The sequence below is a fragment of the Homo sapiens genome, chromosome 3 (genome assembly GCF_000001405.40).
Source record: "Homo sapiens chromosome 3, GRCh38.p14 Primary Assembly".
NCBI classification, from domain to species: domain Eukaryota; kingdom Metazoa; phylum Chordata; class Mammalia; order Primates; family Hominidae; genus Homo; species Homo sapiens.
In genome coordinates, this window is record NC_000003.12 from 159,066,931 (window position 1) to 159,083,909 (window position 16,979).

The 16,979-nt window shown below is 37.2% G+C and overlaps 2 protein-coding genes across 7 annotated transcripts in view; both read left to right on the top strand.

The window, feature by feature from the left end:
* Nucleotides 1-2,388: 2,388 nt before the first annotated feature.
* The window catches only part of IQCJ-SCHIP1 (IQCJ-SCHIP1 readthrough), an 828,041-nt gene continuing 813,450 nt past the window's right edge, over nucleotides 2,389-16,979 (top strand). For 3 of the 4 annotated variants that reach the window (NM_001197113.2, NM_001414413.1, NM_001197114.2), the window contains exon 1: nucleotides 2,389-2,511. In NM_001197113.2, coding sequence (NP_001184042.1) covers nucleotides 2,503-2,511 — 9 coding nt within the window. In that variant the 5' untranslated portion in view covers nucleotides 2,389-2,502. Of the gene's footprint in view, nucleotides 2,512-2,735; nucleotides 2,876-16,979 lie in introns of those variants that run through there. The other variant, NM_001414414.1, reaches the window with a different exon arrangement.
* IQCJ (IQ motif containing J) overlaps nucleotides 2,389-16,979 on the top strand; it is a 196,989-nt gene continuing 182,398 nt past the window's right edge. For all 3 annotated transcript variants that reach the window (NM_001042705.3, NM_001197100.2, NM_001042706.3), the window contains exon 1: nucleotides 2,389-2,511. In NM_001042705.3, the coding sequence (NP_001036170.1) occupies nucleotides 2,503-2,511 (9 nt within the window). In that variant the 5' untranslated portion in view covers nucleotides 2,389-2,502. The remainder of the gene's footprint in view (nucleotides 2,512-16,979) is intronic.

Here is a 16,979-nt window from a genome sequence, read left to right on the forward strand (position 1 = left end):
TTGCTTGAAGATGCCAGGATCTACTACTCACTAGGAGGTCCTTTGGGTCTGAAGCTGAGGCAGATGCTGAAGCAAAGGATGAAGGGAATTGGCAGATAATGTGCTTTCTCATGCAAATTCCTCAGTGGTCCTCCCATGAAGAAGGGTAGAAGAATGCTGGGACTCTCGCTCCTCAGGCAGAAGGGACCAGATTTGACTTGCTGCCTGGGTGCCTTTAAGTTAGAAATTCTGAGTTCTTGTCTCAGGTGTGCTCTTGCATAGGGCCGGGATGCCACAGAACTGACTTCCTCTTATGTTTTGGCAGAGGATATATAGACTCAAAGCCTGCCCGTCCCTCTCATTCTACAGATTAAAATCAAACCAAAACAAAACAGAGGCCCAGAGAGGTTATACAAATGAATCAAAAGATTTGGGGTTTCTTTTGCCTTCAGCTTTGGCTTCCAAATCCATTTTCAGCCTTGTGCCCTCAGGCTCTGGGTGAACCAAGGAAATCCAGACCTTCCTGTGGTAGAGGGATCCACAAGAGCAGAAGTGCAGGTCAGCTTGAGCAGCTGTGTTGCTTGAGTCTGGAGGCAGTGGCGGATGGGATGCCTTCCTCCTTGAAAGACTCCAAGGCTCTGTAACAGCAGTTTTGAATTGCAGCTGCTGTTATGGGTGAGAGGGAGGACTTCATCAGAATCGCCTGGAGAGAATTTCAAAACACATGTCCGAACTCTGCTTGCCTCATGCTACCTAGGGTAATCCACAGTGCAAGAGATGGCAGTGAGCATGAATTTTGTAAGTAATTCTGTTGTGTCCATCCCCTGCTGAGTCCCTTGTGGTACTATTTGACAATGGTAAGCCCCTTGAGGGAGTTCTCATCTTAAGGGTCATTGTGTTCTACACAGCATCTGATGTGTAATTCAGTGGATATTTGTTGAACAAATGGATGAAACAAATGGCAGTGGAGAGCTAAGAACAGAATCTAGGCAAACAGGCCTGAGCAGTGGAATGTGAGGGGGACTGGCGGTGCCTCGGTCAATACGTATCAATCGAGCGTGCTTAAAGGTGAGTCTGGCCTTCTGCAGCAGTCTGACCATTGACTCTTTATCAATAAACATAAATACTGTTCTGCCCTTGACCTCAAGAGTTAAAATAATAAATAGCTTAATTGGTCATCATTAATTCCACTTCAAATTTACTATAGGCATGTGTGGCCTTGAACAGAATGACTCCCATGCTCAGCCCAGGCATTTTATCCCCGAACCTCCCAAAGGAGTGTCCTTGGTAAAACAAATAAAATCAGCCTCCCACCTCCTCCCACCCATCAATAGCACGTTTGCTATTGAGTCCAGGCAAATGGCCATTTGCAAGGTTGGATGAGTAGTTAAGCCACACAGGCACAATGTAATATGACAACATTCTTCATGGTAATATTGTCCTCCTCCTCATTACATTTGAATATAGATTGCCACTGTGCAATGCCTTCGACCTCGCTCTCTATTTGTGAGGTTTAGGAGTTCTTCAGACAAGGTGATGTCCACGTGCACTCCTCAGAAATTATTAGCCTATTTGTAAACCTAAACAAAATAACAGCTATTGTCTCTAATAACTTAATTTGCCAAATCTCTTTTCTTCCTATGCTTAATTATGTATAAATTTATAGACTTAAGCCACCTGCCTGCTCAATGCTTGTATATAATCGTACCTCTTAGCTACCACTTAATGTTTCAGGGCTCTTCCTTTATATTCTCTTTGCTTCAAACTGTACATTTAAATATCAGTACTCAGCTCAGCTTCTGAGTATTAAACATTTTTTTTTCTCCACTTCCTTGAAAAGCTGTGAACAAGCCTTTTAGCATTTTATCTGGACCAAACAGTAGTGGTTTTACATGAGAAACGAGAACTCTGCAAGTAAATCTATGTGTTTATATGTCTAAAGTGCATTATAAAAAGAAGCAATAAATCTAGTTTTCTACATAAAAGGAATTAGATTTTCCAGTTTACCTCTGCACTGGGATTAATAAAATGCGCAACAAATAGCTGATGGAATGATCCATTTGAAGTTTGTAAAGGTATCTAGGGAAGCTGGCTGGAGTAGCCTTTTCATTTTTTCAAAAGCAGGATGCCTCTTAATTTTTTGATTCAGTCTTGTTTCTCAATGACTGTTTTAAAATGAGCTGAGAGGCTGTTACCTGCCTGTTTCTGCATGGCTGAGCAAATTCACCCGTAAATCCAAGTTTCTCTTCATTTCCATCACTATACGTCTCCAAATTACAGAGAATTCATTCCTGAGCTGGAGAGGTGCCAGAAGTTTCTCATCTAGCTGTCTGTGGGCTGCCTTTTTCTTTCCCCTCTTTGAGGCTTTCTGATGCCTAGAGTGAGCTCAACTCAAAGGTTTCCAGCCTCACACTCGCCTCACATTCCCCCACAGTCACATTGCGCTCTGTGATTCTGAGGAATACAGTGTGCCAGCATCCGATCCAGTCTCCTTTCACCTGCAGGTGTTCCAGAAACTTCAAAATGCGTCTGGTAATGTATTTGCTTTTCTAAACGTGCCACTTTGATGTGCATTATATGCAGCTGCTTATTATTTTTTAAAAATCTGTCTTCTGAATTAACATGTATGCAAAAAATGTCAAAAAGAGCTTATAGAACAGTGTGGGCTTAATTATTGGTCTAGGTGCGTGTGCATGTGTCCTTGTTAATGTAGGCATGTGTGCATAAATATGTATTATTTATGTATACATGTGTCTGTGCGGACAGATTTCACTAAAGGAATCTCATTGAAAGCAACACTTCCTATGAACATCCAGATTTTCTAGTCAGATCTGTAAATATCTTACACAACAACAGCAAGTAGAGGAAAAATACATTTTTCACACCCATGCAAATGGTATGTTTTAAACACTTATTTAAAAAGCCCTCCTTTCTTGTGTGTGTGTGTGTGTGTGTGTGTGTGTGTGTGTGTGTGTGTGCGTGTGTATGGGGAGGAGGTGTTGATTTTTGAAAATTGGGAGAGAAGAGTTATATTGCTGCTGCACGAGAATTTCTACCCCATGTTACCTGCCTTCTTAAAACTCAGTAAGCACTGAGGGGAAGAGATGTGGTTCTGCTTTGGAGAACCTCAGGGGGACGTTGATCCGCAGTGTTCAGCAGGAATTTTAGGTATTCTAAATACTAGTGCTTGAATAATAAGTAGATGGGGTAGATTTGCTATAGCCAAATCCTTCTATGTTTTCTGGCTTGTAGGAATCACATTCACACTGTACATTTAGGATCTGCATGTGTTTATTGAACTCTAGTAAAGCAGCGTGAGAGTGCAGGCTCATAAATCACATTATTTATTTGCTAGTGTTGGGTGCTAGATTCTAAGATTAAGAGATTACTTAGCAATTAATAATATATTCAGCATCCCTTGTCTCATTGGGTGAGATTTACATCCTTGGGACTTGCTCTTCTAGTTATAAAGATGAATTATTTAAGGTTCATACTTAATTGCTATTTCAAATTCTTAAGCTAGAAAGATACTTGCAACACTATATTTAAAAGACTTATTTTGAAAAATGTGTATGTATATTTCTAACTGGTGGTGAGCTAATTATGACTACAATGTGCTATATGCTTAAAAATAACTGATCTTGAGTATTGCTTACTTTTGTAATAGAAACTTGTTTTCTGGTCTTCAGATTATAATAATTCTTTCACTTTGCATTATGCTCTTTTTGAGATCAATATTAACTAATTTTTGTAAAGAAGAGAAAATGAGGTAGCAAGTCAAATAGCATTCACAAAGTAGGTTTTCTTTGAACTAGTAGTTTTCTAAGAAATTAAAATAGTTTTTCACAAGTAGGTTTTTTAAATGTACGTTGGGTAGTGATACTTGAAAATGGAAGCATCTTAAATATTAGCTTGTTAAGTGGAGCAGATTAGGATAGTATTAATGCCATCTTGTAGTTTCTTAATATATTTAAGATGATGTAGTAAATAGGTTAATTATTTTATATTGGCTATTATTTTTGCTTCATGATAATGATTATAAAAGCAACAATTGCATTGGATTTACTTCGCATTGTGGACAATTGTAAACTTCAGTAAAATAGTTGACTGAGTTGTAACAATAAAAATGAATATTATTAAGGTCAGTGTGAAAGCTACTCTTACTTTTTAGCATCCAAGATCTAATATTTTATCACATATAGAGCTGTGTACTTATAGAGGATTATGTATATTTTTAAAAATTTACATAACTCTAAATGCTGATTTTATCAACCATGTTCAATTTATAATTAAAGTATAATAGTACAGTAAAAATGCATTTCAGTATGTAGAAATGGCCCCTTAAAACAGCATATTATATTAGGAGCCATTAAAAATCTGTGTAGGCTATTAATGTTATACTCATATATTGTTCTGTGTGTAACTGATTTCTATTTTAGGTCCTATTCATTTCCAATGTTGTAAATGAACCTAAGATTGTGTCTTATTCAATGTAGGAATCTTGCCTTGAATGTAAATATCTTAATGAAGGTTTTAAATTGAATGAATAGGATGGCTAAAGATTTACTAGCACCTTTTTTCACGTGCTATATATGCATAAATACATATATAGAAATATTAATCTATGTAAAAATATTCCTTGCCTTCAATCACATTACAAAATACCCTCACTTTACTTTTGAAGTCAATTATTTTGTTTGAGGTTTCATAGGTGTAAAAAGAGGTTTTGTTTTTCAGAGCTTATGTAGTACTGTGTGGTAAAAGAAAAACATTCAGTGCCATTTTGTAGTGAATATCATATGTACTAAAAAGTGAGAGGAAAGAATGCTGCATTTGCCATCTGTCTCTAAGTATGACCTCCTACTGGCTTTAGACATATTGTAGACCAGGCCTTTATTTTATGAAACAAATTTATATTACCCCAAAATACCTAAAATGATTGTAAAACACTTACTTCCCCTCATACAATAGTTTCCCTATTATGTGACCAGGACTGTCTTAACAAACATTTTATTTTTAAGGCTCACATATAGAATGAAGACATAAAAAATATAATTTGTAGGCTGACCATGCATCCATAGCTGAAAATATTCATCCTTTAAGTAAGCATTTATTAAGCATCACATTGCCAAGCTGGCTTCTAGCTTTGGGACAAAAGGAGGTGTCAAGGAGGGAAGCTCCTGTTTAAAGATACCATTCCTGCTATTTCATTATTAACCATTATTTATGGAGGCAAGACACCTTCAATATGGTTTGAGAATTGCATTGGATTTTTTGTTTTTTGTACTACTTAGTTTCAAAAGGACAAAATCCTTGGGAGCATTTTCCAATAGAGAAGAACAATCACAGTTAGGGTGGGGAGGGCATGCTGGTCAAGAAAGACTCTCTGGAGAAGATGAGTTCTCAACCAAGCGGGGGAGGAGGTTATTAGCAAAAATTGATAAAAAGGAGAGTAATAGGAGAATTTGGAGTGGATGGAAAAGAAAGGAGAAGTAAATCACGGGAGGAGACAAGAAGGTGATGGCATTGTATGGAGAGAGGAGCCGTATTGGAAGTAAGAGGAAATCAAATTTAAAAAAAATTACAGAGTTGGGCTTTAAATTTTTCAAAATTAATATTCACTAACCTTATTAGAGTCTGTGGAAAATTATTTGATTAAGTAAACATTTCTCCTATTTTGTTATGCCAAACAACCTCTGTAAATGCATTTTAAAATCTACATAATAATTTTAATTCATATTTATTGAGTATTTACTATGGGCCAGCTATGGGCCAGGCACTGCACTAAATACTTTAAATGCACTATCTTATATAGTCCTCATTGACTATTAATATCCACATTCTACTGGTGAAGAAACTGAGGTACCGAGAAGTTTAATTAACTTGTCTGAGTTTGTATAAGGTCAGAAATGGAGGAGTGGGATTTGAACCCAGATTCTAGAGCCCAGCCTTCTAGCCACTATACAAAAAAATCACAGTTAGCTTATTTCATCTCTAGTTCCAGGTCCAGACTGGTATGGCTAGTTGTTCACTGGGTGTGTCATTTAGGTTCTCTGGGAAGAGATTCTGAGACAGAATTAGTAGTGCAAGTGGTTTATTTGAGAGTAAAGACAAATGGGGAAGGAAGCAAAATTGGGCAGGGAGAGCCTTCTGACCACACAATGCAGATATGACAAAATCTCACCCAACCCAATGGCAACCTCTGGAGGGAAGATTGCCCATTAAAGGAGTCTCACAGTGGGCAGAAATGACCAGGCCTAGTACCCCTGCTATGCTCAATCACTGGCTGGGGGCTCCCCGAAAGAGCATGGCTGTGGCTTAAAAGTTGAGGAAGATCCTGAAAGTCCTGTAGCTGGATGTTGTCAGCTAACTGCACTTCTTGCAGCTGAATAGCAAGTTCTTTCTTGAAGGAAGATCTGAGCAGTGTACCTCCCTGGCTGCCAAGGTGATATCTCTACAAAATGTATCATAGGAACTTAGCGGTAAGGTGAGCTAGGTGCCTAGGGTGAAGAATTTAAGGAAGTACCTATGCTTTGGGTCATTCAAGTGCTGAGTGGGCACCTCAGAGTAAGTGTCTCCTTAAGTTTTGCACTCTCAGGCATTTTGCCTGTCTCACCCAGTCCCCAGAACCTCCCATTCAACACACTTAGAATTGATCTCATCATAGTCCCTCCAAATGTACTCTTTCAGTCTTATCTCTCAGGAAAATCCAAGAACTGCTCAGTGCATCCTCCCACTAGTCTCTTTGCTCCCATCCAATTCAGTCTCTCCACTGCCACAGCATCATCTATGTTAAATACCACTCTGATTTATAATTCCAATGCATAATACTCTTCATTGGTTCCCTGTAGCCTAAAGAATGAATTCCAAGGTTCTTTCTGTGGCATGTAAAGACCCTGTGTGATCTGACTGCATGGACAATCTCGACTGAGGGCTGAAGCAATTTCAATGCTTATATGTAAGGAACATTAGAATTGTTTATTTTTAAATATAGAATAGGTCATATTTAATTCTGGGGTTGAAGGTTGTGTCGGAATTTGTAGAGTTAAGATTTCCCATATGGAGGAAGCAGAATCAGATGATTTGGAGGTGATTAGAAGGAATGGGGGTAGTTTCACTGAAATTTGGAGAATATATGGAAATTAATGGAAGATATACCTGCAAAAGTAAATTGGAGCTGGCCGAAGAACTGCGGTCATGGAGTTTAACTTTTCTTTTGAAGGGATCTGATCAGAGAAGTAACATGATCAAAATAGGCTTGCGTGAAGGTGAATGAGGCTGTGATGTGGAGGCTCCACTGAATGGAGAGCAATCAGGAGTCAGGGAGACCAGTAAGAAGGCTGTGTTGCTATTCCAGGTGAGAAGAAATGAGGTCTTGAGTTAGGAATGTAAAAAATAAAAAAGACATGAAAAATATGAAGTAAGGATAAATAGGATTTTAAGTCTTATTAAAAGAAGACGTGAGGGGAAGATAGTACTCAAAAGGGACTTAAACATTTGAATTGAGTGATGGGAGACTTATGTATAAGAACCAGAAATGGACAGGAGGAAGATCTTGTTGAGGAAAGATGACAAGGGTCTAACAGGTGTCTGCAGATGAACCATCTCATTTATTTCCCCAAATGAATATTACACAAATCTTTCATTTTTCTTTCATCTCAGGCACTGCTCGTTCAACTCCTCAAATTTTGCCTGATTTTCAATTTACTGTCATTTAGAGATTTTCACGATAATCCTTTAAACAAAAGATTAAGGCATCAAAGACAAAAGTTATGTTTACAGACACCAACAATTCTAACAAAATTTAGGTTCTTTTTTCTAAATTTCAACTGTAGAAACACCTTTTTGGGATCCACACAATTTCTTACAGCCAGTTTGAGTAACGAATTATTATTATATTTTATTTTTTAAGAAGTTGTTTGGCTTCATACAGACCTGATCCTGCCCAGCAGAGGCTGACAAGACTGGCCTATCTAATTAAAGTTCTTTGTTCCTGGGGTAGATAGAGGAGCCAACACTGTTATCATGAGTTGCAGACATCTTCTCATAGAGGAAATCTGAAACTGCTGCCTCCCACTGCCCAACTAACAAAGGGACAAAGGTAATTGATTTAACATGAACCAAAAAAGACTTTGCAAATAAAGATTCACATTATACATGATTGTGACACATAATTAAAAACTCAATTTTCAATAAAATGGAAATAATGGCAAAGACTTGACGCTAAATAAGCTTTAGGTACAGAAATGAATAGTAAGTTTTATAGGAATTTGCAATGCAATATGAGAAGCTCAAAGCAAGTATTTAATTGCCCTGAAAACTGAACAACATAACAGTCACATTTGCATATTCTTCCAGGCTGACTTGTTTTACTGTAGAGTGCAGGAAAACCCTTGTAGGAATATTACATTAGTATCCATGGTGTACAAAAAAAATTTTTTTAAGAGATAATCAAATTAACCTCCAAATCTGACTGAATAACTGCCTACATTGACTTGTGCCTAACAAGCTGTGACAATCAAAAGATAAGCTGGTAACATATTGTTTGTTTTGTGACAGTGATAACAGAGATCTAATGCCTCATTCCTCACTAGGGCTGCCAGACATAGAAATACAGGATTTGCACACTCTGACCTCCAGAGCATAGAGCTATCGTAAGCCAATGAGTATAAATTCCCTTTTTTGTCTCAGACTTAGACATAGGACAATGTGTTTTCCTGATTTCATTAAAAAAAATGAATAAGATACTGAAACATAAAAGGGAGGGGTCTGTGTATGTAGACATTTGTAATTCTGTGCTCTAACTCAAAACTTTAGGGAAGCGATCTGTATGGACGATGTTTAATCTTCATGGCAGATGAATGAGGCAGGCACTGTTGGTTACTGCCTATCTTACAGATGAGGAAAACTGCTAGAGAGGCTTGATAACCTGTTGAAGGTAACACAGTGGTCAAGTAGCAGAGTGGATTTGGACCCAGGGCCTGAGCTCTTAGACATTGAGCTGGGCATGGAGGGTGTGAGCAGAAGCAGTGATTGGCTGGTAGGGTTTGCCCACCCAGAAGGCTCTTCTCTGAAGCTCTCCATCCTTGGGCCGCTCTTCTTACCTTTCCTGGGCTCTCAAACTTTCCTGTATACTGTAAGGAAATACAGTTGTAAATTCAGGAACCAGCACCAAACCTATTTTTTTGATGGACTGATAATGAATTTCTCACTGAGCTTAAAAATATGTTGCTACCATATTCTAGTGATGTATGTCTCTGCAGTGTGGGAGTCCATCTGCTCATCCTCACCTAACTATATCACTCTTTTAAAATGGGCTTTGTTGATACTTGAATTGGGAGACTTTAATTCTGCCTTCAATTTTAGTCCACACTGGACAATTTGAGCTCATACTTTATGGGAAATAGCAAATTGCCACTATATGCTACTCTATGACCATGTATATGTAATTAAATATACATGAATATTCCAACTATATAGCAGTCTGATGAAGGAAGAACTAGATGTGATGGAGCTCCCTGGTAGGTTCTGTTTGTTAGCAAGGATGACCCCATTTAAAACCCCTTATATGTCTCATTCTGAAGTCTTGATTTTCTTATCTGTAAAATGAATATTATGACAACTAGTTCCTAAAAAGAAGCATGGTGTAGTGGAATAAATACAGGCTTTGGAATCAGACATGCCCCAGTGCACATCCCCTTGCTGTCACTTTGGAAAGCCACTTTAATATCTCTGGAACAGGAATAATACTTCTTAGTATTGCTGTGAGGATAAGATGGTGCATGTGTCAGTCCTGGCATAGGGTAGGTATTCAATAAATGTGTTTAGCATATCATTAGGAGCACAGAGACAGAATGCATAAGTGGATAAAAGCACCTGACCCTGGACCCAAACTTCCTAGGCTCAAATCTGAGCATTATCATTTATCAGCCGAGTGACCTTGGGGAATTAACTTCTCTGTGCCTTAGTTTTTTTGTCTATAAAATGGAAATGACTAAAGCACCTTTTTAATAGGGTGGTTGGGAATTATAGGAGACTTAAGGTATATAAAGTACTTAGAACAGTGCCTGGCATGCAATAGACACTCCATGAGTGTTAAGCCCCTCTTTTGAGATTTATTTCACTTCAACGTGATTTCTTCTCAGAGCTCAAGGCCTGGAGATTCACAGTACATTTAGGGGCAGGCATTTCCAGTTTCTTGTTATCTAAGACCTAAAACAATACTTGTTTTAATCCAGTGTCTGCTGAAAATTGATAGTATCCATCTTAGTTTAATAGGTTCTCATATCATCTATACCCATTGTTGGCAAAGGCGGGGCTCTCAATAGTAAGTGTGGGGGAAAAGCAAATTAGTACAACCAGCTTTAGATGGTAATTTGCATTTAAAAAATCTATCAACACTTGATTAGCACCTCCCTTTTGACCTATCAATTTTACTTATAAGAATTTTTCTACAGGTGAGCTCACATAACTGAGCAAAGACATGTGGTGAAGTTTTGGTTGCAGCATTGTTTGTGTTATTAAAAATCCATAAACAACTAAGTATTCAGCCAGAGAAAAATATTGAAATAATTTATGTTATATCCATGCAATGGAATACTGCAGAGGAGAGAGCTTAAAACTGAGCAATACATGAGAATATTAAAAAGTATACAAACATACTTTTAGGAAAAAAGCATTTTGGGGGCAGTCTATAGCATGAATGATACTGTGTTAAAAATAGTTATATATTTACATCCATTTGCTTGTATAGTCATAGTAAAATTCTCAAAGCATGTATGAGAAACTGGTGTTTACCATTGAAAGTAGAATGTATGTGGAGTGAGTACTTTTCCATTTCACTTTATGTACCCTCTTTGAATTTTAAAACATGGGCATATATTGCTTTTACAACTTAAAAAAAGTTATTTTTAAAAATAGTCAATAAAAAATTCCTTTGTTCCCTTTACTGCCATATATTAGTTTTTTTAAAAAATTAGTCCTTCTTGCAAATGTAATCCTAAGCCTTGATGTAATATTTTTGAGTAATTGAGCCAACTATCATCTTTAGTTAAAACAGGACGTGTATCAACTCACGGCCAAAGCTCTAATTTGCTCCCAGGGAGCACAGACCAAAATGACTAAGGAAATACCTTAACATCAAGTCACAGGAGACTCTTAAGTCCTGTGGCAAAATTTCCTGCATTTCAAAAATTCATGCACTTAGAGAGGAAACATTAAATCAAAAGCATTAGATGGGGGCAAGGAGCATTGAGTCAATGACTTTTCCTCAGGACTTATTAATGCTAAACATGGGGAAATATTACACAGGGGACTTTTTTACATTAAGGTTTGTCTGTATTTCTAAAACCCCTCACTCGGTCTTTTGCAAAATGCTATATAAAAGTTACATTGCTTTTGGGTTTTGAGGGTGGAAGTAATTTGCATGAGGAGTAATCAAGGTTCCTTGCCCTTTGTACTTTCAAAAGTACCTATACACACATTGTCTTATTTGATACTCACAAACAAGGTATTTAGGACAAGAATAAAGTTCATTTTCTACATAGGGATCTGAGGTTTGGAAAAGTTAAGTGACAAGCAAGTCAGCATGGAGCTGAACACAGAAGGACTCTTGGCTGTGTCTTGGCCCACCCGCCCCCCGCCTTTTTTTTTTTGCCACCAGCAGTCAAGGGCATGGCTATACAGAAGAATCACTCCTATGGTTGTGAAATGTGAAGTGGTTTAGTATTTTCTTGGAATTACTTTTAACTCTGGTCTAGAAAGACCCAGGAATGGCAAATTGAACTTTCTCCCCAAAGTGAATTATAAACATCCTAATTTAATTGGTTAAGGAACCTCTAATAAAATCCAGGTAGATCTAGTTTCTCATTTTGCCTCTAGTCCTTACTAGCCATATAATCTTGGGCAAACTGTTTCCTCATCTATAAAATGAGGATAATGATAGCTTTAACCTTCCATGGCTGCTGTTAAGATTTTAAATGAAATAATGTGTGAAAAGTGCTTGGCAAAGTGCATGGTAGATAGCAGAGGGTCAATAAACACCCATGGCAATAATAATTATTAATAATATGATAACTAAATCAGGGTCCAGGTCATTGTGGCAGGCAGGGTTCTGATAGAGGCCAGAACTTTTGTCTACTTGGAGGTGACAGCCAGGAGCTGCATTCCAGAGTGGGTGCCAATCAGCTTCTTCTGTTTTGAAGGATTCTTCCCTGGAAACACAAAGAACCAACTAAGCATGGGCAGGAAAGCTACTTTAAACTTCCCTGCATGTCATTGTGGGGGCTTGGGCATTTCTGACTGAAGAGAATACCCCCAGTTTAAAACAGAGTTCACCACCTTTCCAGTTTATGATCAACAGTAAGACGAGGGAGCAGTCACCTCCCCTAAAAGGGCAACCTGATGATCTTCTTGCTCTGGGGAGTTGGTCTTTAGCCTCCTAAAATTCAACTTTAAAAATCAGATTTTGGCTGAAATCTGAGAAGCCAGAGTTCAGAATCTAGATAATAAGCAATGAAAGGTCTATTTGCTAGCTATTTAGCTTAAAAGTATTTTACTAATTTCTCATCTGAGTTTTTAAAAATTATTTTTCTTTATTACACAGTTTATACTTACTGAAAAAAATATACAGAATCAAGATGAAAGAAAATAAAAATCCTTAGAAGCATTTCATATTCATTTTGGTATATAGCCATTGAAACTTTAAAAAATAAATATGTTTTAACGAAAACTCTAAAGCACTGAATGCACAGTTTATGACCTCTCAAAATCTAGGAATATATCATGTACATCTTTCCATGTCAATACATTTTTTCCTATGATTTCATTTTCAATGGTTGCTTAGTATTTGATCGGGTAGACATTCCATAATTTAATCTTTGGATCTTAAATGCTTAGGTTGTTTTCTTCCTGCAAGAAAAATTCTTGAAAAATTATTGCACAAATCTTTATTTTTTTATAAAAAATAAATTCCTAAAAGTGGAATTTTTAGGTCAAAGAGTAAATGCATTTTAAAGGGTTTTGATGTCAAATTGTCTTCCAGTTAAATTTGCCAATTTTACCCTCATTATTAGTACAAGCATATGATTAATGACTATTTAGGTAAACATGACTTCCATTTATTTATTGCAAAAGTTGAATACCTTTACAATAGACTGTATTGCTGCACCAGAAATAAAGAAGATTTCTTGCTGACACCAACTCCTACTTTTGTTTTTATAATCCAAACACAATATATCTTAAGACAGTATGTTAATTAATTCTATTTAGGAGCTTGGTAATCATGATCAGTAGAATAAACTTTGCTTTTGGTGGAATATAATGGAAAATGTAGAAATAATTTGGAGGAAAAGTTACTATGAGCACACTTCCCTGGAACCCATTAATTCCACCCACATACCCTTTTTAAGGTGTGAGAATAAAACAGTCAGGGGCGTATAAACTCTTCCACTGTGGTTATCATCACATCAATTTTCTCTATGGTTGGAAGTAACCCTGCCTGATCCCTTCTCCACCACACTAGGCTTCACAGTAGAAACATGAAGATTGGAACCTTTTCAGCAGAAATTACTCTTGATGACACCAGCCCCGCTGTCAGAGTAATTCCTGCTGGAAAGAAGGCATCTGAATAATTGGTCTAATAAACCGCGTTAGTGTTTCATCTTGGCAAAGGATTAATTAGGGGAAGAGAAACTAACATTTATTTGGGTTGCTATTTGACAGGCCGTTTATTATTACATTATTGGATTTAATATACCCTACCAACTTATGAGGTAGGTATTGCCGTAGGCATTTTACAGTGAAAGAACAGAAATTCAGTCAAATAAAGTATCTTGCCTAAGGCCACACAGCTAGTGAGCTGCAAAGGTGAGATTTGAACCTGGGCTCCCTGCTTCGGGAGTCTGTGTTCTTTATACTGTTCCTTCTCACTGGTTGTAGAAGTCTGACTGTCTCTCCTCTAGAATAGTGATTGTAAGTATTTAGCCAACTAAACTGCAGGTTTCCTCTTAAAATCAGTATGTCAGGTTTACTTAGAGCACTCAGAATGCTGAGTCTGTTTAGAAACTTTTGTAGGCCAGAAACAGAAAATCTGCTAAACTGGCCAGACAATAAAGAGTTTATTGTCTTAGGTAACAAGATATCCTGAGACAGAGAGACTCCTGCCTTTTTTCAGAGGCTCAGTGATTTCATCATGGACTCAAGTCCCCCATCTTGCTGCTCTGCCATTCTCAGTGCTGTCTTGTAGGTGTCTTTTATTGTGTGATGACTTCAGAAGCTCTGAGTGCAACATCTTCATGAATACAGAGACAGGAAAATGAAATGGCTCCTCCTCACACATCCGTTTTCTTTTGTAAGAGCAAGACAAACTTCCCAGTAGACTCTCTCTGGCGCCTCATTGCCCAGGACTGTGCCATAGGCCCCTTCCTAAACCAAACATTGGCATTGGGAATGACTTAGGCCAAGATTCACCTGAGGTTGGGGAGGGTGAATGCTGATATCAGAGCCAGGCTTTGTGGCAGGAGGAACCACCAAAAATACTGCCAATACAGCATTCGAGAGATTTTGAGATTTCTTTTTGTAGTTAATTGTGTATATATTCTGGGATTCTTCAGTGGTATAAAAGTATACTGTTGCTTTTCTAGATGGTTTTATTTTTATATAGCTACCAACTACAAATGAGCACATCATTTTTTCAGTGTGGTTGACCAAATCCTTCCCATTTCCATCACCTTCTCCAATATAATTTATATTCTTCTTCTTTACCCAAATGTTCATCTATTCTAACTCTTCTTCACAGTCCTTCCGAATACGACTTTTTCCAAGAATGTGGGGAAAGTATGATTTTAATGCAAAATGAAGAAGAACCCAATATTCCCTGTCTATTAGAGTTAGTGTAATTTTTGCCCTTAAACAAAAAAGAGTATTGTCTTATTGGAGAGACTTAAGTAGAATAAACATACTTTTCTGTCATTAATAAATAATCTGATCATCTTGTATTTCAGCAATTCATTTAACCCTCATGCTTGTATTCAAACAAAACAAAAATTGAAGTGGAGGGATGTCCATTAACTGCCAAAATAATTAGTTCAGTAAAACAACTTGTTGATTCAAGGGGAAAGGTCAGTTATTTTTTTCATTGTATTGGCTTATTAAATTTGAACAGCCAATTTAGTTCAAATGTTCATCAAAATCTATGATGTACTAACATTGTGGGAAAGTAAGAGGAGCTATAGAAAATCTTACACAACCTGGTAGAGAAGAAGAATAAATAACCAACTTAGAAAAAGTATCTATAATAAACTATTACATAAGATACAACAAAGATATATGAAAATTATAACATCAATAACAAATGTATTGAGCACTGATTATGGCCTAGATTGTGCTTCTATTTGCTTTACAGGTATTAACTCATTTAGTTCCCAAACAACTCTATAAGTTTTTTTTTTTTGTTAGCCCTATTTTACAGATGAAAAAACAGAGGCAGTAAAGAAGCATAAGGAGAGTTTCATGGGAATTTGGATGAGGATGCAATTCTTCCTGGGAAGTTAGGGGAGCAAGTGTTTTAGGGGAAAGATATGTGAAAAAGGTGACCTTCCAGCTAGTGTTGAGGCGAGAGGCCCAGGAAAAAAAAAATGGCTTTGTAGTGGGGAAAAATGGCATCTGCAAAGCATCTCTGAAAGACCTTTGTGTGTCCTGTGTGGCTGAAGCACTGTGCAAATATGTGGAGGTTAAGGAAAGGGAAGCTGTGGTTGGGTTGTCTAAATGGTGTATGCCCAGCTAAAGGGCTAGAGGTCTGTCATCATGAGTCAATACCCATCTAAGTTGTTTATGCAGGAGAGTGACATGATGAGATGTGGCTTTAAGAAAATGATTCTGGGACAGATAGAGACAACCAGATTAGATGGGGGAGGACATGAAAAGGAAGAGGGAGACCCACAGGCTCTATAACCCCTCTGTGAATAGCAATGTCATTGTTCAAAATGTGAGAGAAATCTGATATCCTTCAGCAAGAACACGAACCTCGACCACATGCCTTATACAAAAATTACCTCATAATGGACCACAGACTTGAATGTAAAATGGAAAACTATAAAAAGTGTAGACAAAAATAGAAAAATTTTGAAACCTCGGATGAGGTAAAGCCTTCTTAAACTTGTCACCAAAAGCACTATTCATAAAAGAAGAAAACTGTCAAATTGGACATTATCAACATTAAAAACTTTTGTTCTGTGAAAGACCTTGTCAACAGAAAGAAAAAGACAAGCTATAGCCTGGGGGACAATATTTGCAAATGGCATATCTAACAAAGGAATTGTATCTAGAATATATACAATGAACTCTTTCAACCATAAATAACCCAAATAATCCTTTTGGAAATTGGACAAAATACATATACATACATTTCACTTGAAGAGGATATATAGATGGCAGATAAGCACATGAAAGGATGTCCAACATCATTAGCCATTGGTGAAGTGCAAATTAAAATGACAGTGGGATATCACTATGTATCAAATCAGAATGGCTAAAATTAAAAGTAGTGATAACATCAAATGCTGATGAGGATGCAGAAAAACTGGACCACTCAGACACTGGTGAGAATATAATGTGGTACAACCACTCTAGAGTAAAATATGGCAATTTCTTACAGAACTAAAATGTGCTTACCATGCAACAGTATAATTGCACTGTTGGACATTTATCTCACAAAAATGAAAACTGTATTCACATAAACAACTGTACACAAATGTACATAGCAGCTTTAGTCTTAATAGCTCCAAACTGGAAACAACTCCAGTATACTTTAATGTGTGACTGGTTAGTCAAACTGTGGTGTGTCATAAACTGGAATATCATTCTGTGGTATTCTCCACTGAGTGAAGAAAAACAGTATCAAAAAATTATATATTGTATGATTCCATTCATATAACATTCTTGGAGTGACAAAATTATATAGATGGGGAACAGATTCATTGTTGCCACAAGTTGGGAAAAGA